The 21,575-nt window shown below is 51.9% G+C and overlaps 1 protein-coding gene across 1 annotated transcript, besides 8 other annotated features; it reads left to right on the top strand.

The window, feature by feature from the left end:
• Nucleotides 1,192-1,391: an enhancer, noted in NCBI's record as "active region_21262". NCBI's record gives its function as "activates an Ori minimal core promoter by ATAC-STARR-seq in GM12878 lymphoblastoid cells {active_cell/tissue: GM12878}" and the evidence as "EXISTENCE:reporter gene assay evidence [ECO:0000049][PMID:35858748]".
• On the top strand, nt 1,472-2,962 carry BLOC1S4 (biogenesis of lysosomal organelles complex 1 subunit 4). Its single transcript, NM_018366.3, has one exon. It carries the CDS (start codon nt 1,508-1,510, stop codon nt 2,159-2,161), a length of 654 nt encoding a protein of 217 aa, NP_060836.1. The 5' UTR covers nt 1,472-1,507; the 3' UTR covers nt 2,162-2,962.
• Nucleotides 1,672-1,721: a silencer, noted in NCBI's record as "silent region_15236". NCBI's record gives its function as "represses an Ori minimal core promoter by ATAC-STARR-seq in GM12878 lymphoblastoid cells {active_cell/tissue: GM12878}" and the evidence as "EXISTENCE:reporter gene assay evidence [ECO:0000049][PMID:35858748]".
• Nucleotides 1,874-2,513: an enhancer, noted in NCBI's record as "H3K27ac hESC enhancer chr4:6718303-6718942 (GRCh37/hg19 assembly coordinates)". NCBI's record gives its function as "activates a minimal SCP1, AML or CMV promoter by ChIP-STARR-seq in primed H9 embryonic stem cells {active_cell/tissue: H9 hESC(primed)}" and the evidence as "EXISTENCE:reporter gene assay evidence [ECO:0000049][PMID:30033119]".
• Nucleotides 11,979-12,558: an enhancer, noted in NCBI's record as "H3K4me1 hESC enhancer chr4:6728408-6728987 (GRCh37/hg19 assembly coordinates)". NCBI's record gives its function as "activates a minimal SCP1, AML or CMV promoter by ChIP-STARR-seq in naive H9 embryonic stem cells {active_cell/tissue: H9 hESC(naive)}" and the evidence as "EXISTENCE:reporter gene assay evidence [ECO:0000049][PMID:30033119]".
• Nucleotides 17,431-18,630: an enhancer, noted in NCBI's record as "MED14-independent group 3 enhancer chr4:6733860-6735059 (GRCh37/hg19 assembly coordinates)". NCBI's record gives its function as "activates an origin of replication core promoter dependent on BRD2, BRD4, P300/CBP and CDK7 cofactors, and independent of MED14, by STARR-seq in HCT116 cells {active_cell/tissue: HCT116}" and the evidence as "EXISTENCE:reporter gene assay evidence [ECO:0000049][PMID:35650434]".
• Nucleotides 17,431-18,948: a biological region, named in NCBI's record as "MED14-independent group 3 enhancer GRCh37_chr4:6733860-6735059".
• Nucleotides 18,042-18,948: an enhancer, noted in NCBI's record as "H3K27ac-H3K4me1 hESC enhancer chr4:6734471-6735377 (GRCh37/hg19 assembly coordinates)". NCBI's record gives its function as "activates a minimal SCP1, AML or CMV promoter by ChIP-STARR-seq in primed H9 embryonic stem cells {active_cell/tissue: H9 hESC(primed)}" and the evidence as "EXISTENCE:reporter gene assay evidence [ECO:0000049][PMID:30033119]".
• Nucleotides 19,780-20,074: an enhancer, noted in NCBI's record as "tiled region #12223; HepG2 Activating non-DNase unmatched - State 6:EnhF, and K562 Activating DNase matched - State 5:Enh". NCBI's record gives its function as "activates a minimal TATA promoter and a strong SV40 promoter by Sharpr-MPRA in HepG2 and K562 cells {active_cell/tissue: HepG2 | K562}" and the evidence as "EXISTENCE:reporter gene assay evidence [ECO:0000049][PMID:27701403]".

Consider the following 21,575-nt stretch of genomic DNA (forward strand, 5'->3'; position numbering starts at 1 on the left):
ATGCCATTTTAACGTGCTAACCACACTCCCCTCTATCCAAGGTCCCCAAAAGTTACATTTTTTTAAATCTCATGTAGTTTTAGGTATTACTATCCTATTGTCACATCAGCTTTAAGTCCAGAATTTTGTCTTCTCAATAAGATCAGATGTAGATGAGGCTTTCTGAGCTTAGTTCCTTAAATTCAGCTCCTAGAGTACAATTCTTCTTGATCTGTAGACTTTTGAAACTAAGGAGACAAGTTCTCTGCCCCCATGCCTGGAATATACAGTTGTGGGGCTGGCACAGGATAATCACTACAGACCTGTTCTGCTCCACTACGACTAGATTAGCCACTGCCACTCCTGTTCAAAAAGGGGGAAATTGGAAGTACAAACAAGTTGCCAGCCCACAGTAACTCTGCCATCCAGTCTCAAGGTCTAGGACTCCATGACTCCCAGTTCCACCATCTGGGCTCCTGGTTTCATGCCCTGAGTTATACTTCCTTTTTTGTGAAATGTGGCATGTGTTTGCCAATGAGTCTTTTTCTCAGTCTGATTCCTGCTTGTACAAGTTTGGGGAGAGGGGATCCAAAGGCCTGTTCCTTTCAGTCCAATCTGCAATGTTTGTGTCAATATAATTATCTTTAAAAAACTTTATAGGTCTCCTGTGAATCTCATCGGGGTTCACTCCGTTAAACAAAAGTGCTACCTACAAATCCCTTTGAGATAAGTCCATCTCTATCTTGGGCTTCTGCTAATACTGACGAACAAGCCTTAAGCCTTCTGGAGGCCTTGTGGTTTGACTGATGGACTCTGTGAGCCACACCATTAATCTCTTTAAGGAGCTGTTAGTCTAACTGAATGGTATTCTCAGGCACCGTCTTTGCTTTTTTTTTTGAGATTTTAAAGGATTTAACCGTCACATCTCAACTTCACCTTTGTTTTTTTCTGGCAGTACCCTGGATTTGATATTTGCTTGGAAACTATTACTATTTCTTAGTTTTACGCCATTTGCAATCAGGCGAAGCTGAGGACTTTAAAAATCATCCAAAGTCGTCAAGGTCCATCCCTTTTGTGTTTCGTCTTGCTTATCTCATTTATTTTACTATAAACAGCAAAAAGAAATGAAGGACAGGAGGGAGACGTTCATGGGTGCTGGACATGTCCTACCTGTTGGTCTGGATAGAAGATGCATGGTTGTATGGATGTGTACAAAGTCATCAATGTGCACACTTAAAATGTATGCACTGTATTGTATTCCTGCTATACCTTCGCTTAAAAAAGAAAAAAAAGGTTGAATGTGAGTTCGGGCGTGAGAAAACAGCAGCGCGCATGCGTGAGCGTGAGCGCGCATGCGTGAGCGTGAGCGCGCTGGGAGGCCGGAAACAAAGGTGGATGCGCGTGAACAGACGCCCTCGCAGGCCGCCGGAAGCAAAGGCGTGAGCGCGCGTGCGTGCGTGTGCGGGTGCGTGAGCGTGAGCGCGCGGAGGCCGGAAGCGAGCGCTGCGCAGTCGGGTGGTCGCGGGCCATGGAGGGTAGCTTTTCGGATGGCGGAGCGCTGCCGGAGGGGCTCGCGGAAGAGGCCGAGCCGCAGGGCGCCGCCTGGAGCGGGGACAGTGGCACTGTTTCCCAGAGCCACAGCAGCGCCTCGGGGCCGTGGGAGGACGAGGGCGCGGAGGACGGCGCGCCGGGCCGCGACCTGCCGCTGCTTCGCCGCGCCGCTGCGGGCTACGCCGCCTGCCTGCTGCCCGGGGCCGGGGCGCGGCCCGAGGTCGAGGCCCTGGACGCGAGCCTAGAGGACCTGCTTACCAGAGTGGACGAGTTCGTGGGCATGCTGGACATGCTTCGCGGCGACTCGTCCCACGTCGTCAGCGAGGGCGTGCCGCGCATCCACGCGAAGGCCGCCGAGATGCGGCGCATCTACAGCAGGATCGACCGGCTGGAGGCCTTCGTGAGGATGGTGGGGGGCCGCGTGGCCAGGATGGAGGAGCAGGTCACCAAGGCCGAGGCCGAGCTGGGCACCTTCCCCAGGGCGTTCAAGAAGCTCCTGCACACGATGAACGTGCCCTCGCTCTTTAGCAAGTCTGCTCCCTCGAGGCCACAGCAAGCCGGCTACGAAGCCCCCGTCCTGTTTCGGACCGAAGACTACTTCCCTTGTTGCAGTGAAAGGCCTCAGCTCTGACGGCCTGACCACTGCGGCAAGAGGACCCCAGCTGGGGTGCTTACCTCCAGTATGAAGTGAATTGCAAATCCTGCTTATGGACATATATGATGTTGGAGTGTGGGATTTTAAAGTTTACTTTCTACAAACTCTCCGTAGTATATTCATGATTCAGTGTAGAATGTATAGACTTTATGTCTTCCAAGTTTAAAAAAAGAGACAGGGTCTTGGTATGTTGCCCAGACTGTTCGGAAACTCCTGGGCTCAAGTGATCCTTCCACCTCAGCCTCCCCAGTAGCTGGGACTACGGGGTCGCCACTGCACCCAGCCTGTGTCTTCCAGCTCTAATCAGAAAGCTGCTTGTCGAGGGCATGGGGAATCAAACTGAATGAACTTTTCTCTGCACTGTGGCAAAACTGTTATTTTTATGGATTTTACTAAATGGCGTTACCTTTTCAAGATTTATATGTTTGTATAATCATAAGAAAATTGAGCCATTAAAGCCTTGTTATTCAATCCTAATAGTCAGTTTTCTAGAACCTACTTTTAGGGTAAATGGTACATTATTTAATATTATATTAAACCTCCTATAGCGTGGATTGTAGACCAAAGGAAATGGTACAATTTCTGAGAATATATGTTGATTTTTTGTGACTAATTCCAAAGTTGTATTTGAAAGTATGACCTCACAGTCTTCATTTGTCCATAGCAAACATATGTGTGTGTGTGTGTATATATATATGTGGGTTGCCAATGTTTGGTTTATAATTTAAATGTTAATAGAAATTTTGAGTTTTATTGGAAATGATTTCCTTCTGAAAAGAGCTTTACGTATTTCCTTGTGTGTGTTTGAAATAGACGTACTGCTCATGTGCTTTTTTAGTAGTGGGATAAAGAAAAGGGGCTTGAGTATACCTCCTTTAGAGAGCTAATGTGAAAAGCTGTAGCTTCTATTTCAGAGCATGGTATATTTCTTTTCTTTTTTTTTTTTTTTTTTTTTTTTGAGACGGAGTCATGCTCTGTCGCCCAGGCTGGAGTGCAGTGGCGCAATCTCGGCCCACTGCAAGCTCCGCCTCCCGCGTTCACGCCATTCTCCTGCCTCAGCCTCCTGAGTAGCTGGGACTACAGGCGCCTGCCACCATGCCCGGCTAATTTTTTTTGTATTTTGTATTTTTTTTTAGTAGAGACGGGTTTTCACTGTGTTAGCCAGGATGGTCTCGATCCCCTGACCTCGTGATCCACCTGCCTCGGCCTCCCAAAGTGCTGAGATTACAGGCGTGAGCCACCGCGCCCGTCCAGAGCATGGTATATTTCTTTCCTCTCGAAATGGATAGTTAAATTATTTGTGTGAGTGAATGGTATTAGGATTTTCCTGCGGATACAGTAGACTTTTATTGAGATTCAAATCTATTTTATAAGGTGGCCCTCCTAAATAGTAGATGCTAAAAAAGCATACAGCTTAGGTTGCTTTTGTGTCATTTGCAGTGTCATCAAAGATCTTTGAGGTTCATAGAGTAGCTGTATTTTCATTTAGCTGTGTGTTGTGAAGAATCTGATCATGTAATCTTGCACCTAGCTTTCGTGGACCTTCATTGTCACATATTTACGTTTTTTATTCAGGTGGTTCATTGACGACAAATTAAGGAACTCTGAATGTAGAAGCTGAAAGAACAAGTAACCTACATTTAATATTCAGCAACTGCTGGTACCCCTATAAGTAATTCATGTGTTTCGATGACATAGTCACTGAATATGAAAATATCCTTACATAACAAAACATTGCTAAAAGATTTTTCACTTAAAGTTAACATTCAAAAGCAGTAATTAGGGGCCGGGCGCGGTAGTTCACAAGCACTTTGAGAGGCTGAGGCAGGCGGATCACAAGGTCAGGAGATCGAGACCATCCTGGCTAACATGGTGAAACCCTGTCTACTAAAAATACAAAAAAAAAAAAAAAAAATTAGCCAGGCATGGTGGTGGGCGCCTGTGGTCCCAGCTACTCAGGAGGCTGTGGCGGGAAAATGGTGTGAACCCGGGAGTCGGAGCGGAGATGACGCCACTGCACTCCAGCCGGGGCGACAGAGCAAGACTCTGTCTGAAAAAAAAGAAAAAAGAACTAATATCCACCTATCCACCTTGGCACTCCCACAATGCATATTCCCAGTGCTCTGTCCATCCCCACTGCTACCCAACCCATCCAAGCCACTGGCATCTCTCCTGGGCCACTCAACAGCCTCTTAAGTGGTCTCCTGCTTCCCCTTCCCCGCTCCAAGCCACTCCCGCATGTAACACATCAGCCAAAGGGGTCTTTAAACAACATAAATCAGACATATTGGGCTTTGCCTAAAGCTCTCATTAGCTTCTCTTCATATTAGAATAAAGCCCAATTTCTGTTCTCTGGCTTGAGGTGGCTCCTGCCCCCTTGCTCACTCCCCTGCAGCCTTCCCTTGACCTCGAAAGATGCCCCATAGCATCTTTCATATGAGGATATGGAAAGGGGACATATGAACTGTCCCCTTCATAGCGCTTGTTACAGTTTGTGAAATGTGTTTGTGTCATTATCTGATGACTGTCTGCCTTACTCACCTGGAGTAACAAGTGGATGTTAGCTGCATCCACTTGGCTGCATGCTCAGCAAGCAGGTAGCACATCCCTGGTACACTCACATATCTGTGCAATAAGCGATTGTCAGAGTGACTGAGTGAATGAACGACTACACAAAATGTAGGCACTCCATAAGGAATGCGAGACAGAAAGGCAGACAGGAGAATTCAGTCAGACTAAGGGCTGGCTCAGAAATCAAGCACCATGGGAAGACTAGGACACAAAGAAAAACAAGATGTGATTCTTTCCCAAGAGCTGGGCAGGCCAGTGGGTGAGAAAGTCAGACGCCCAATCCAGTTGAGTCCAACCTAAGGTTCAGTCAAACACCACACAGACATTCCCGTGGGCTCCAATGGGGCTTTGTTCCTAATCGTGCCCTGGGATGTTGATACAGAACTTACAAAACTATCCTTCTAAGAAGACTCCTTTTATGTGCTGAGAAGTTATCCAGATTCAGGCACAGTGGCTCATGCCTGTATTCCCAGGGCTTTGGGAGGCCTAGGCCAGAGGATCACTGGAGGCCAGAAGTTCGAGGCCAGCCTGGGCAACATAGTGAGACCCCGGCTCTACTAAAAATACAAAAATTAGCCAGGCACGGTGGCTCGTGCCTTGTAGTCCCAGCTACTCAGGAGGCTGAGGCAGGAGGATCACTTGAGCCCAGGAGTTCAAGGCTGCAGTGAGCTGTGATCACGCTACTGTCCTCCAACCTGGGTAACAGAGCAAAACCCTGTCTCAAAAAAAAAAAAATTAATTTAATTAAAAAAACCACAAACCACCATTTCCCAAAGTGACTGAAACCATTTGACCCACTAATGGAGAATGAGAGCGTCTCCTCTATACTGTTCATGGTCCAAGGGAAGCAAGGGTTCCAGCGGTCGGGTGTGAGCCCGTGGGAGGGAACTTGGTCATCAGGAAGGATGCGAGGACCCTCTGGCTGTGGGGTGTGGGGTCCGCGGTGGCTGCAGAGACTGGTCCCCCCACACCAGGGGGCGCTGCAGGAGCGGGAAAGGCCTGAAAACAGCTGGTCCAGCCCCTGTCCTCGGGAAACTAAAGCCTTATATCCTGCCACGGTCACTGGGCACTGGAAATTCAGAGCCCCAAGATCCTGTCCATGCTCGAGGGGCTCCCAGTGTGCAGACAGAGTGGGGACGGCAGCTGCAGCCCAAGGCACAGTGGCTATATTTGCATGGGGGTAGGAGGGGAGGAAATTAGGTGAGGGAGGCAGACAGGGTGCTAATTTGGACGTGCCCTGTCTGGTGGGGGCAGAAGACAAGGCCTGTTTATGTCCACCTGGCTCTTATCTCTCCCCGAAAGGAGCACGATCATTTATTTATGTACAGTTTGTCTGTCTCCCCAACGAGGAGGAAGATTGTGGTGTTTTTCCATTTTGTCCACTCTGAATCCGTGACACCTGGTACCAGGCACCTAGCACAGAGAAGGCACTGAAAACGTACCCACTGAGGGAATGACAGGGACATTGAGGATGAGCAGGTGCTGGCAAGGAGAGCAGGGAGGGTTTCAGGGCCCACAGGCTGCTCCCCCGTCAGCCCAGCTCCCGCCTCCCTTGGCCAGGGCCTGTGGATGCGTCTTCCTCCAACCTTCCCCCTTCCTCCCTGCTCCATCCTTACGCTCTAGATGCGGCTCATAAACAAGATATCATCGGACTTGACTCTCCTTGTCTGACCTGACAAGCATTTGTTTCATAGTAGGCGCACTCAGTCCGCTGAACCTTCATGGATCAACTCCGGCATCTGAGTGCTGTTCCCGAGTCACACCTGCCCTGTGCTCCTTTTCTTCCCAGTTCACCCTGGCTGCTGGGATCCAAGGCCTCTGGGGTCCCAAGCAAAGGGAGACATTTACCAGCGCACACCCCCCACCAACTCCGTCAAAAACATCGCCCAGGGCCCCAGTGTCCGCCCGAATCACCAAATGTCTCTGAGGTGGAAACAGCCCCAAACATCAGGCCACCCCAGGCCTGTGTCATTCCTGAGACCCTGGTCCAGGAGCTCTTCAGATGCTGGCAGCCTGCTAGTGCCTTCAAGCAGCTCTCTCGCTCTCTCTCTCTCTCTCTCTCACTCACCTAAAGAAGACAACCTATTACTTTAGGTGTGCAGAATAATTTTACTCTTTTTTTTTTGTCTCAATCTGAGACTTGTACTGGAAAACCCAGAAAACCCATTTCAGTGTTTTCTCATGTTAAAAAAAAAATGCAAAAACAAAAAACACCAGAGTTGGCTGGGCTCAGTGGCTCACGCCTGTAATCCCAGCACTTTGGGAGGCCAAGGTGGCCAGATCACCTGAGGTCAGGAGCTCGAGACCAGCCTGGCCAACATGATGAAACCCTGTCTCTACTAAAAATACAAAAATTAGCTGGGTGTGGTGGCCCACACCTGTAGTCTCAGCTACTTGGGAGGCTGAGGCAGGAGAATTGCTCGAACCTAGGAGGCAGAGGTTGCAATGAGCTGACATTGCGCCACTGCACTCCAACCTGGGTGACAAGAGCGAAACTTCATCTCAAACACACACGCACACACACACACACACACACACACACAAACACACCAGACTCCCTAAATATCTGTCGCAATTCCTAGACTTGAAAACACTTTCTGGTAGACTTTCTTAATAGAAGATTGTTTCCTGTTACACTATTAATTGAAATAAGAGCCAGCAAGATGGAAGGGGTGTGTGTGTGTGAGTGTGTCTGTGTATGTGTGTTTGCTAGTGATGTGAGAATTAGGAGTGGTTTGGAACATGCTGATTTTCAGTTTTCAACTGCCAGCACTACTGCTTTACAAACTTGTTCAGACATTCGATCCAAAATTCAAGAAAGATGGTAAATGCCAATGAGAGGGAGGGAGAAAAAACAAACTTGATATGTTGTATGTACTGCGGGATTTAGGAATGGGTTGACATACACAAGAATGCTCTAGAACAGAAGACAAATTATATAGCGTCGTGGTCAGACATGGCCCAAAGTTTTGTCCTGCCACTGCCTATCTATATAACATTAGGTGAGTTATCTCTCATCTCCAAGGCTCAGATTTCTCACCTGTAGAATGAGAAATAATAAATAGTATCTACCTCAAAAAATAAAACAGTTCAGAAAGACGTTTAAGTTGGAAATGTAATTGTTCTTATTTTCTTACTGACTTTTTGCAGTTTAGCCAGTTTTTATTATCTTTTTTCTAAAATTGTAAAATACACGTAACATAAATTACCATTTTATCCACTTTGAGAGTACAATTTACTTGCATTAAGTACATACATATTAATGCACAACCATCACCACCCATCCATCTTCAGAACCTTCTCTTCTCCCCCAAGTGAGGCTCTGTCCCCATCACACACTAGCTCTCTATTCCCCATGCCCCAGCCCCTGGCACCCCCATTCTACTTTGTGTCTCTATGAATTTGACGACTCTAGGGACCTCACAGAAGTGGAACCCTGCAGTATTCATCGTTTTGTGATTGGCTTCTACCACTGAGCATAGTGTCCTCAGGGTTCATCCACATTGTAGCCTGTGTCAGAATCTCCTTCCTTTTTAGGGCTGAATACTACTCCATGCTGTGCGTGCCCCCCTTGGCTTAGCCACTCTGTCAGTGGACCTGGGTTGCTTCCCCCTCTTGGCCGTTGCGACCAGTGAGTACGGCTGGACCCTCCAGCCCCTTCCCAGTGCAGTGCTCTGGCAGAGCCGTGAGCCCCGGCCGGGGGTCCGATGAGCGGCTGACGCCAATGGGGCCCTGGCCAGAGGTCTGATGAGCGACTGAAGCTGATGTTCCACTTGCCCAAGTCTCCCTTCCCCTCCAGCCAGGCTTGCTGGCCTGTGACCACACTTGACCCACATGACTTTCTCTTCCACTGCGACAAGTTACTTCCCAGTGGGCTCCTGGCCTCACACAAGGAGAGCCTGGTGAGCAGCTCAGCGGCGCCCAGGGGTAGCCACGCTTATCTACATCCCGGTCAAAGCCTCCATCCTAACTCATCTCCCCCTCTCCCGTTATTCCCAGGCCATGAGGAGGGAGTGAGAGGCGCTGCTTTGTAGAGAGGGACCAGTTCAGGCCAAGCAAGGCATTTAGGCTTCACCCCAAGAGCCCTGGAGAGCACCTGGGGCCCAAGACCAGGTGCGAAGGAGTTGGGCTCTGCAGCCAGGTTGCTGGCCTCGACCCCTGCAGCCTGCAGAGCGTGGGCATCTTGTTCTGCTGATGGTTGACTTCAGGGTGTGGGAACCTCTGAGGCTTTGACAACTTGAGGCTGGCAAGGAGGACAGGGAGCAGGTGGGATCTTCAAAGACTACACCTTTAAAGACTGTGACCTTTACCCTGGGGACCACAGGAGCCACTGGGGACTTCACTGGGAGTAACTCATCAGAGTGGAGTTACACTCAGTGGCCGCCTGTTTATCCTGAGATCTGCCCGCAGGCAACAGGCCCAGTCTGCACCGCAGTCTGTACCACACTGCCACAGATCCCTAAGGCTGTCCCTGACTGAAGTTGGTGGGGGACGAGGGAGTCACCGGGTGACAGAGCATGACTGTAAGGACACACGCTCATCACAAGTATGCATTGACCCTGCTCTGTGCTTGGAACCTGCCAAAGTTCAAGCATTTCTCCACATACCCCAAGAGGGGCCTGGCCAGCTCTGCCTGATGTCAACACTGACACCCAGGCCTTGGGTCCCTGGACTTCTCGTCTCTGGGCACTGGGGGCCAGCGTGGTGCAGTTGGGAGGGTCCCCAGAGCTGAGGCCCTTGAGTGAATGATTGCAACTCTTTGGGCCTCGGTTTCCTCATCTGGAGACTGTGATGGGGACTACATGAGCTCAACAGACCACCACAAGTCTCCCGAGTACCTGCTGGGGCCAGCCTGGCATCAGGCTCTGGGGATAGGCAGATCACATGCCCTTGAGCGACAAATCCCTATGTCCTCTGCACAGCGTGACTTGGACACTCGGCCCACCCCGTGGGTCTCCTGACCATCTTCCTCTATCCTTCAGGACACTCATTCTGAAAGAAGCCAGGCACCACGCTGCAAGGAAGCCCAGGCCAGCCCACACGACAAGACAGTGCAGAGAGCCATGTGGGAGGACCCAAGGCCCCCCAGACAGCCAGCGTGGCAGCGACCCAGCCTCCATGTTCGAGCCCTAGCCTCTGAGTCATTCAGTGGAGGCCCCAAACGTCATGACACAGAGACAAGCCGTTCCCTCTGTGTCCTGCCCAAATTCCTGACCCACAGACTTTGTGAGCTGAATGAATGTGCTCTGCAGCCACAGTAACGGGAACACCCACCGTGGCCACTCTGCCCTAGCAGGGAGCAGCTCGAGGGTAGGCCAGCCGAGTTAGCACTGGCCACCGAGCCAGCACCAGCAGGGCCAGAGGGACACGTGTGGGGCTGGACTGCTCAGAGGATACAGCATGGGCAACAATGAGGAGTCAGCGAAGACGGCCTTGGGCCTCGGCCTTGGCAGAGCCCTGGCAGAGCGGGCAAAGGAAGCTGCCAGGTGCATCAGGCGAGGGAGGGAGCCCCAGGAAAGGAAAGCCTGCACAGACAGGGGGGTGGGGACCTGCCCAGGTGCCTGGGGGCACTGTCAGAGCACCACGTGCCAAGGAACACGTGGGAGCGGGGTGGCAGGGAGAGGCTGCTCCTGGGGCCTTGGCTTGCAGTGTGTCACCAGGAAGGTGTTCAGTTAGAGGAAGACAAAGGGGAGGACAGGCTGGGGACAGTGGACGGGGGCATTGCCGCTCTGTCATCACTGGGTCCACCTTTGAGGGGCTGGGAAGACCAGGGCCCCCCGAATCCGGGGCTCGGCTCCACATCCTGCCCACCAGCCTGCCAGGGATGGACCAAACTCCAGGAGGCCCCGACACGTGAAGGAAACAGTGGTCGGAAGAGCAGGCACCCAGCTCAGGGCACTGGCAGGCAGGGCCCCGGGACTGCTTCTCCACCAGCTGCTGTGAGTGAGCCTGGTGGCCTACCCCTGCTGTCCTGGCCAGGTCGAATTTTTGGATGTGCCTTGGAACAACTAGGCAGCATGTGCACACACACGCACGCACGCACATCACACACATCACACATGCATGCACACACATCACACACAATCATACCACACACACACGCACACACATCACGCACATCACACACGCATGCACACACACCACACACAATCATACACACACGCATGCACACACATCACACACAATCATACCACACACATGCACACACATCACACGCAATCATACCACACACATGCACACACATCACACGCAATCATACCACACACATGCACACACGTCACACACATCACACACAATCATACCACACATGCGTGCACACACATCACACACATCACACACAATCATACGACACACACATGCACACACATCACACACAATCATACCACACACGCATGCACACAACACACAATCATACCACACACGCATGCACACACATCACACACAATCATACCACACACACATGCACACACATCACACACAATCATACCACACACGCATGCACACACATCACACACAGTCATACCACACACACATGCACACACATCACACACAGTCATACCACACACACATGCACACACATCACACACAATCATACTACACACACATGCACACACATGCACACACATCACACACAATCATACCACACACGCATGCACACACATCACACATAATCATACCACACACGCATGCACACACATCACACACAATCATACCACACACGCATGCAGACACAACACGTACACATGCATGCATGCATGTGTATCACACACATTACACCACATATCACACATGCACACACAACACACATCATGTACACACACGCCACATACCACACACACAAACATTATGCACATATGCATCCCACACATGCCTCACACACACAACGTACCACACACACACACACACACACTGTGGTGATAAAATACATGGGCATGGCATTCAGGCAGAGATTGGTTCCATCCCTGTTCCATTTTTTTTTTTTTTTTCGGAGATGGAGTCTCGCACTGTCACCCTGGCTGGAGTGCAGTGGCGTGATCTTGGCTCACTGCAACCTCTGCCTCCCAGGTTCATGTAATTCTCCTGCCTCAGCCTCCCAAGTAGCTGGGATTACAGGTGCCCCCCACCATGCCCAGCTAATTTTTTGTATTTGTAGTAGAGATGGGGTTTCACTATGTTGGCCAGGCTGGTCTTGACCTCCTGACCTCGTGCCCACCTCAGCATCCCAAAGTGCTGGGATTACAGGCGTGAGCCACCACATCCAGCCTCCTGTACCATTATTTTACTAGCTGTGAATTTGGGCAAGTTACTGGTGCTCTCTGACCCTCAGTCTTTTTATCTGCAGAATGGGGTTACTCAAGGCACCTACTTTCTGAAATTGTTGGAGAGTCCTTGAGCTCAGGGGGCGAGGAGGACAGAGTTTTGTGAGGCACTATTCACCTTTCAGTGGAAACATTTTTAATTTTGTTTCTGTCCTGGGGGAGGAGGAGAGAAGGAAGACTGGGGGTAAGTTCTCCCACGTAAGACAGCTTCCTATGGACGATGAATTTAGACTCGCCGCATCTGTGCATGCTCGTGTGGCCTCCCAGAGCCCGGGTGGCAGATGGGTGGCCTGGCGTGAGCATTCTTCGTTTCAGGCTGTGCCGGGCCTCCCCTTAATAAAGACCTGTTTCTTCCCGGCTGCACTCTTGGCCCAGCCACCAAGGCTCAATGAGCTATTCTGAGCTCCCGGCCTGCCCGCCGTGGACACACTCGGGCCTTCTGTTTGCCCACGGCCGCCCTGTGGGGCTTTCATAAAGCAGCCCTGTTCTCTCTCCCACCGCGCAGCCGCCTGCTCCTTGGGGCCTTCTTAGGGAGGAGGCCGTGCCAGCCCGGGAGCCGGGGGCGTGGGGAGGCTGCGCTTTGCTGGCTTCCAGGAAGACGCACACGCTGTGTGTGGCCAGAGACCGGGGCACCTCTTTGTTGGCGGCCCCATTGACTTAGGGGCGATTTGTTAGGGGTAAGACACGTGTTCGGCGAGCAGGCTGCTGCTGCTCACTCCCTTGAGAGAGGGCAGGCCTCCCTCTGGGATGCACGCTCACCAAGGCCACAGGGTGCCGGGCCTTTGCACGAGCTGTTCCTCTGATCTTCCTGGGGTGGCCTCCTCCTCGTTCCCCCACTCCCCTCCTCCCCTTCCCCCTCCTCCTCCCCCTCCTTCTCCTCCCCTCCCCCTCCTCCCCCTCTCCTGTCCTCCTCCCCTTCCTTCCCCCACCCATCCTCCCCCTCCCCTCCCCTTCCTCCCCGTCCACCTCCCCTGCCCCTCCTCCCCATCTCCTGTCCCTCCTCCCCCTCCTGTCCCCTTCCTTCCCCCTCCCCTCCCCTCCTCCCCCACCCCCTCCCCTCCTCCCCCACCCCCTCCCCTCCTCCCCCACCCCCTCCCCTCCCCTCCCCCTCTCCTCCTTGCCTAAGCTTAAGTTTTCTTGTTTCCTGTCTCTGTAGTCTCATCGGTCTTGTTGGAGTTCCTCTGTGTATTTGTCCTTGTCTCGCCCCTCTAGAGGGTATGTTTCCCAGGATCAAGGAGGCGTCCGTCTTGTTCACATCCATTCCCCAGACCCCACACAGTGCCTGACTCAGAGGAAGCCACAATCAAGATCTGTTAGATGAATGAATGAACTAACTAACCATGCAATTAAGAAGTAAATCTATGAATCCATGAAGCAATGATTCACTAGATCAATTACTTAATGAGACCAGGGGACATAGGCAGGAGAGAGACTGAGTTTCCCCTTTAGCAGGAATCCTTGCCATACACATATATACATATTTGATCATCTGATCTTCCGCATTCACCTCTAAGCCCTTCCAGAGCAGTGGTGGGGCAGGCTCCTCTCCAGGGTACCCAGAACGCACCATCAGCCCCAGGCCTGGCACACACCGCTGCTCGATGAACCTTGATTTAATGAATATGCCAAGGCCAGTCCCATGGCCTCTCATCCATTTTTGGGGTCACCCTGGCTTTGTCCCACCTCAAGACCTTCACACCTGCTGTTCCCTGGGCCTGGAATCCTGCCCCTGGCTTTTTCACGTGAAGATCGCCCTCCGCTGGAACACCCACTTCCCTGGGCAGCTGCCCCGCCGCATTTGGATCGTCCTCCGCTGGAACACCCACTTCCTTGGGTGGCTGCCCCCGCCACATTAGGAGCTGCTTCCCTGGAATTCTCTGTCCAGTGCCTGCATAGCTCCTTTCTAGACCTCACTGATGGAGCTAATGCTTATTTACCTATTTCCATTAGACTTGGAGCACCCCGGGGCCAGGACCTGTCCTGCCCTGCTTGCCCTGTGTCCTCAGTTCCCAGGACAGTGTGGGCTCCCAGGACTTGTTGAGTGAGCACTTCTTGTTAAGTAAACTAACAAGTGGACCAACAAGAGCAGAAAGCTGATTGTGTGTCCATTTTACAGTGGAGGACAGTGGCCTGCATCCAACACAGGGAATGCCGCAGTCACGGAAGTTGTCAGAGATACAGACACTAGAATCCCGTCCTCCACTCATTCATGCAACAGGTTTTCATCCAGTGCCTGCTGCCTGCAGAGATGGCCCTGTGGCAGGGTGCAGCCCAGGGAGGGGGGGCAGGCCATGAGAAGGGCTTCCATGGAGGCAGGGACAGAGGCCAGGTGCAGAGCCCACTACTCCCTGGGGAGGGGTGGTCAGGGAAGCCTCCCTGGGGGAGGCGAGGCAGTCCTGGAGTGGAGTCCCAAGAAAGGAACTGCCGTTCAGCAGTGGGTGAGAGCCAGGCAAGCAGTGCGCATAAAGGGAGGACCTCGAGGGGCTGTGGAGCTGACCTCCAGCCCAGCAGGGTGGGTGCGGGGATGAGGCCTGGATCTGCTCTGTGCAGGCTCAGGAACCGGGGTCACTAGTGGAAGCCCAGGAGGATCTGTTTTATGTCAATATAAAGGAACGTTTCCCAGAGGCAGAGCCATGCAAATAGAATGAACTTTCTGAGGAAGGAGTGAGCTCTCCATTCCTGGGGTTATGTAAGCTGTGATGCTGGAGAGGGATGAGGGGTTCGCCTAGACAGAAACCCTGTAAAATCCCTTCTGATCTAAAAAATCTATATTGAAAAGTGTCTAATGCAGGCAGAAGAGGTACTTATCAGATAATATCAACATAATTTTCATACAAATATGCATAAAGGTGATCATTACAGAGATTTTTTATGGAATGCAAAAAACCCATCTCATAAATCCCACTTTTAGAGAGTTTCTCAGGCAATCAACGCATGAGTATTCAGACACTTGGCTAAAATCACTGCAGTGGTGTTTGTAACAGAGGAAAATTGGAAACAATCCGAATGTTAACTTATATGTTTATTTTCTGTCTCCCCTCTAAGCTGCAAGCTCTAAGAGGGTAGACCTTGTCCGTCTCATTGGCAGCTCTGTCCTTCAGATGCAGTGGATAGAAGAGATAGAATGTGCTCTTTGTTTCATTTTTTAAATTTTGTTTTCTCACTGCCTATTCTGTGAACCTATGTACTCTTTTTTTAAAAGTATAACTTGGCCAGGCGTGGTGGTTCACGGCTGTAATCCCAGCACTTTGAGAAGCCAAGGTGGGCGGATTGCTTGAGGCCAGGAGTTTGAGACCAGCCCGGCCAACACAGTGAAACCCTGTCTCTACGAAAAATACAAAAATTAGCCAGGCATGGTGGTGCACACCTGTAGTCCCAGCTACTCGGGAGGGTGAGGCATGAGAATCGCTTGAACCTGGGAGGCGGAGGTTGCGGTGAGCCTAGATTACACCACTGCACTCCAGCCTGGGCAAAATAGTGAGACTCTGTCTCAAAAAATAAATAAATAAAAAATAAAAAAAGTGATAAAAGTATAACTCTACTGATGAGAAACAGAGTTCATCCAAACGTTATTATAACAGCAGTTGTTTCTGGGTGATGGATCGAAGATTATTTTTATTTTGTTCTTTATGTTGCACTGAGTTTTTCATGCTATCTACAATAGACACACACGATGTTTGTAATGTGAAAAATTTTTGAGAAAAAACAAAATGACATCAGAGTTAAAAAAAAAAAAAAAAAGCAGGAAAGAAAAACGACTTCATTTGCTGAGCTCCGAGAATGGATTTTTTAAAGTCAAACAAAATCGTTTAAGATTTTCTCTAAATGCCCTTAGTGGTATCTTCTTGCCATCTGGCTAGGATCACACGAGAACAACCCAACTCGTTTGGGGAAGAAAATTGTCTTCAGTGTCGCAGTAGCCACCTCTAAACTCGCCTCCTCCACCCAGGGTGTTTTGTCGTAGCCTACCGTGGGCGTGGACTTGACATTTATCTGGGCTCACAAGCCTGCAGGGCTGTCTGGGTGTCCCAAAGCCACTTCTGCTCAAGGCAGATAACTGCCAAAGAAATAACTCTGCCAGCGAAGAATCTGCCTTTGAATCTGTCTTCCCAAACAAGCAAGCTCTCTCAATGTTCAGGAGAAAACAGCTCGCTCGCTCTGAGTTGTTCGAATTTGTGGAGCTCTCCAGTTCTTGGGGCCCAAAGGGATTCAGCCTCCTGGCGGGGTTGGGATCGAAGCTACCTATTAGAAGTCACTGCTCACCATCTGTCACCCTGGGGAAGTAGAGCGGTTCCCAGCCACTGGACATGTGCAAGCCGAGGGTGGGCCACCCTTTGTCAGAGAGCTTGTAGCGGAAGTGCGATCATCAGATGGGGGTGGGGGCGGGTCTTATTGCCTCCAATGGCCAGGTGACAGGGCCTTTGCTCAGAGGGGTGAAATTCGCCAGGGTCTCCTAGTCTACCCAGTAAATCTGGGCTGCCCTAATTATAGCCTCCCCACTGCGCTTACTGGTAGCATTTTGTACAAGATGTTAGGGTTGCCTAGAGGAGGAAGGGGACCCTTTGGGAGAGACAAGGGGCTCTCACCCTCTGGTTCCACAATGACAGCACGGTATTCGCCAGTTCAGGGTCCCTGCCCCTGGAGCTCATGCCTGTAGCCGCCCCGTCCCACAGACAGAAGCACACACAGGCGCCTCTCCTCATGTGCAGCTGGCTCTGAGATTCATGGAACAAGAAGAGCCAACTCCTAGGAGGAGGCCAGTTCAAATTCTGCCTTTTTCCGGCTGTGTACTCTTGGAGAAGTTACACACCTCTCTGAAAAATTGTTGAAAGTAAACTTACTGCACAGGACACTTTCTGTGCTCAGTTATGTCTGCCGAGTTCAGCTGGCGTGCAGGCACTGCCACAGGCCCCGAGAAAAGAACGGGGTGCAGAGCAGGGGCTGCTTTCAGGGACCCGCCGTGCTAGTGAAGGTGGAACGGTAAAGAGGGTCCCGGGTTTAAGGGCGCGGGCAGTGATGGGAGCACAGACCCAGTGAGGCAGGGGAGGGTGAGGGAGGCCTTCTGCAGAGGGGGTACCCTGCAGACAGAGTCAGGGAGAGATCAAGAGACGGGGATGGCCAGGAGGGCACAGGGCTCACTGGCCAGGCAACATCGCCATTATTTCTGTTATTATGACTTCTCCTGCTGAGGCACAGAGAGGGTAAGACACCTGCCCAGGGACACCCTGTTAGAAGGTGGCAGGGCCAGGACTCAGCCGCAGGCCTGTCTGGGGGCCCCCATGCACACGGTGCACTGGTCTTCAATGGGTGCACAGGTGGGATCTCTTTTCTTTTCTTTTCTTTCCTTTCCTTTTCTTTCTTTTTTTTTAGATGGAGTCTCACTCTGTCACCCAGGCTGGAGTGCAATGGTACGATCTTGGCTCACTGCAACTTCCATCTCCTGGGTCCAAGCGATTCTCACCTCAGCCTCCAGAATAGCTGGGATTACAGGCGCATGCCACCACGCCCTACGAATTTTTGTATTTTTAGCAGAGACAGGGTTTCACCATGTTGACCAGGCTGGTCTTGAACTCCTGACCTCAAGTGATCCACCTGCCTTGGCCTCCCAAAGTGCTGGGAATACAGGCATCAGCCACCGCGCCCATGGGTAGGATCATGGGTAGGATCTCTGATCCTCCCGGTTCATGGATCTCCAGATATTACGCTCCAAATCCACCTTCTGCTTTCTTGACATCAAACCTAAGAAACAAGGGCCCACGACACTTTCTGCTTAAGCCTAAAGTGCTGGTAACCAGAAGGGACCCCGAGGGGACCCCCAGGTCTCTCTGCATCCTGAGGGGCTGCCGCTGTGGTTTCTCCCCAGTGCTGGGGACGGGGGGCCCTGTCTGACCTAGTGGCTTCTCATGAAGGTGCCCTTCCAGAGAGCCAAGCACCGAATTGGGCCAGCCCAGGTGGTCACTCGGCTCTGCTGAGGCCTGCTTGGATCTCAGGGTGACTGGCCCCGTCAGGGTGACTCAGCTGTTCTTGCAGCTGGGCGTGGGCTGATGGCTGGGAGCTCTCCAGGCAGCCCGCAGTGGCCAGGCCGCAGGAAGGCAGGCGGGAGCAGCCCGGGAGGACTCACCAAGTTCTTATTTTGCTTTTAAAGCCTCCAGCTCCTGGCCCAGGGAGCCAGGTACAGTCAACCTGTTGGAAAAGTGCCTCCTTCTCAGGGAAGCCTCGGGCATGGGAAAAAGCTAGGATGCTCAGAACCAAACAGGAACTGAAAGTCAGCCCAGCCAAGTCCTTCATTTCACAGCTGAGGAAACTGAGGCCCAGAGAGGCTGACCTGCTTGGGGTCACGCACACGTAGGGTGGTGCAGGCCTGTGATCTTTGCACTGGGCCCCCAGACCTCTCTGGAGAGACGTCACACTCCTCAGAACCAGCAAGCTGCTGGGTGATGCCACAGGACTCCCTGAAAAACCGGCCCGTTGAAGACCAGCACAGGGTGGGCAGGAGGGTCCCCAGACGGACCTGAGGCCCAGTCCTGGCCCTGCCAGTTTCTAACAGGGTGGCCCTGGGCAGGTGTCTTACCCTCTCTAGGCCTCAGTCTCCCCTCTGGCCACCTGCTGGGATCTCCAGGGGAGTTCAGTGAGTGGCAGTGTGCGGTCAGCCCGGTGCACACGGGGTTCCCTCTGTGCTCACCAAACCTCAGAGGAGGTGGCCCTGGAGCCTTGAAGAAGAGGACGCCTCCTGCCTGCCGCTGCTGGGGGAAAGCCCACCTGGCCCTCCGACGCACATATACACACGGACAGGACAGCTTGAGAGCACGCGGAGAATTTGCTTCTCCTGAGAGCAGGCTGGAGTTCAGGGGTCAGAGCGGGTGAATTTGGGCTTTCCCTCTGCAAAACTCACGTGTGAAACCCACTCATTTGTGCAACAAATATTTGCCGAGTGCTTGCTGTGTACAAGGTCCTGCCCCAGGGCGGGAGACAGAGCCATGACCAAAGCAAACAGAATCCTGCCCCATCGTCCTTACTTCCAGAGGGCGGGATCATCAACAAGAGTCACAAATGATCAAACGCACATGGGGAGTAAATAGTGATTGCGGAGCAGGGATCGGAGAGGGATCGGTGCCAATGAGAAAAGAGTTGAGCAGAGCAAGGGACTAGGAAGCGACGGGGATGGGAATTTTAGAGGGGACCCAGAAAGGACCAGCCCGAGCAGGTGACCTCTGAACACAGAGAGGAATGAGGTGAGGGCACAAGCCATGACGGTTTCTGCAGGAAGAACTTTCCAGGTGGGGGAACAGCCCCTGCAAAGGCCCTGAGGCAGGAGCCCCGTGTAACAGCAGCTCCAGCGAGCAAAGGACGGAAGGAGGGGATGAGGGGAGGAGGTGGAGGACACCATGTGTGGGTGTGGATTGGGAGAGAGGACCGCCCTTCCTCATCTGTGGTGTCGGCTTGTTCTGTTTCAGGGTGATAGAATTGCTCAGCCTCCACGAGGTAGGAAATCCCAGAAGACAAGGAGGTCCATGAAGCGGGGGATGAGAATCCCACCAGTTTGAAACGTGCCACGTTGGTGACGCTCCTTCCTTGAGGCTTCTTTGTCCCCCTCCCCAACCTCATTTCACACTCTGCTCCTCACACAATAGAGTCTCAGAAGGCCATGGCCACAAAGGGTCAGGGCACCAGCCTTGGGACAAGACCCAAATCATCAACCAGATGTCACAGCTGCTGACCCTGGCCTCACCCAGCCGCCCTCTGCCTTGCCTCCTGCGCCCACCCCAAGCCTTGACAAGAGCTGTTCCCTCCATTAGGAACGTGCTCCCTTCACTGTCCGCCCGCAGAGGTGCACATCTTCCGGGTCTCACACGTGGTGATGACTCAGACAACTCAGCCAACTACTCATTGACTGAATGAATACATTCACAGTTGTGTCTCCAGGGTCCTCAACTGATTCCATACATTAGCTGCGTACCTGCCGTGTACCATCCCTCTTTCTCAGATTTTCAGTCAGCAATCAGGAGACCTGGGTTTCAGCTGCGTGACTTGGAGCAAGTCACGTGTCTTCTCTGGCCCTCAATTACAATCAAATCTTTCAGAGCTGGAAGGGATCGTAGAGTTCTCCAGTCTAAGCCCTTGCCCGATGCATGGGACAGCTCTGCTGCATCCACGTTCTGTCATGACCCAGTCTCTCCTTGTTCACCTCCAGAGACAGGGAGTTCACTACCAAACTCCCAAGAAGGTTCACTCCTGGGTATCTTCCAGAGTCAATGAAGATCCCTCAGACTGGAAAAGGCGTAGGCATTAGCAGACCTGGTTCAGATCATACTTCTAGCTCTATGACCTTGGGCACGTCACTTAACCTTTGTGAGCCCAAGGTTTACTATCCGTAAAACGAGGATCATAATGTTTTCTGTTGGAGTTGTCTCAAGGATCAAGCAAGATGGCCAGGAAGTGCCCGGCACACTGTAGACTCCGGAGACATTTAAGAGATGTCAAATATACACTAAGGAGCTCCACGTCCTGATTACTACAGCACTTCCCAGGACCTAGACTCTGCGTCGTTCCAGGTGAAGGGGCTGGGAGGGGAGGGCTGGTTGAAGGTGGTTGTCTGCAGGCCCTGGCAAGGTAGCACATCCTAGGAGGAGGCCGTAATGAAGACAAGGTCAGAATGGTGTAAGAAAGAAACTAGATACATAAATGATAGATAGGTAAATATTTTGTTATTGTGGTCAGATATACAAGCCTTAAAAATTTACCATTTTAACCATTTTAAGTGTAGCATTCTAGGGACCTTAAGTACATTCACAGCCAGGCACAGTGGCTCGTGCCTGTAATCCCAGCTGAGGTGGGAGGACCACTTAAGGCCAGGAGTTCAAGGCCAGCTTGGGCAACACAGTGAGACCTTGTACAAAAAAATAAAAACTAGCTGGGCCTGGTGGCACACACCTTTGGCTCCAGCAACTCAGGAAGCTGAGGTGGGAGGATCATTTGAACCTAGGAGCTCGAGGCTGCAATGAGCTATTATCACACTACTGCACTCCAGCTGGGGCAACACAGCAAGACCCAGTCTCTGAAAAAAAAAAATGTAAGTACATTCACAGGCCAGGTGCAGTAGCTCATGCCTGTAATCCCAGCACTTTGGGAGGCCAAGGCGGGCAGATCACCTAAGGTCAGGAGTTTGAGACCAGCCTGGCCAACATGGCAAAACACCATCTCTACTAAAAATACAAAAATCAGCCAGGCATGGTGGTGCATGCCTGTAATCCCAGCTACTCAGGAGGCTGAGGCACGAGAACTGCTTGAGCCCAGGAGGTGGAGGTTGCAGTGAGCCGAGATTGTGCCACTGCACTCCAGCCTGGGCGACAGAGCGAGACTCTGTCTCAAAAAAATAAAAAATAGGCCAGGCACAGTGGCTCATGCCTGTAATCCCAGCACTTTGGGAGGCCAAGGTGGGTGGATCACGAGGTCAGGAGATTGAGACCATCCTGGCTAACACAGTGAAACCCCATCTCTAC

Source organism: Homo sapiens, chromosome 4 (assembly GCF_000001405.40).
Source record: "Homo sapiens chromosome 4, GRCh38.p14 Primary Assembly".
Taxonomy (NCBI): domain Eukaryota; kingdom Metazoa; phylum Chordata; class Mammalia; order Primates; family Hominidae; genus Homo; species Homo sapiens.

Bases quoted from the DNA above. Each gene is read 5' to 3' on its own strand.
- BLOC1S4 (NM_018366.3), top strand. From the start codon at position 1,508: ATGGAGGGTAGCTTTTCGGATGGCGGAGCGCTGCCGGAGGGGCTCGCG.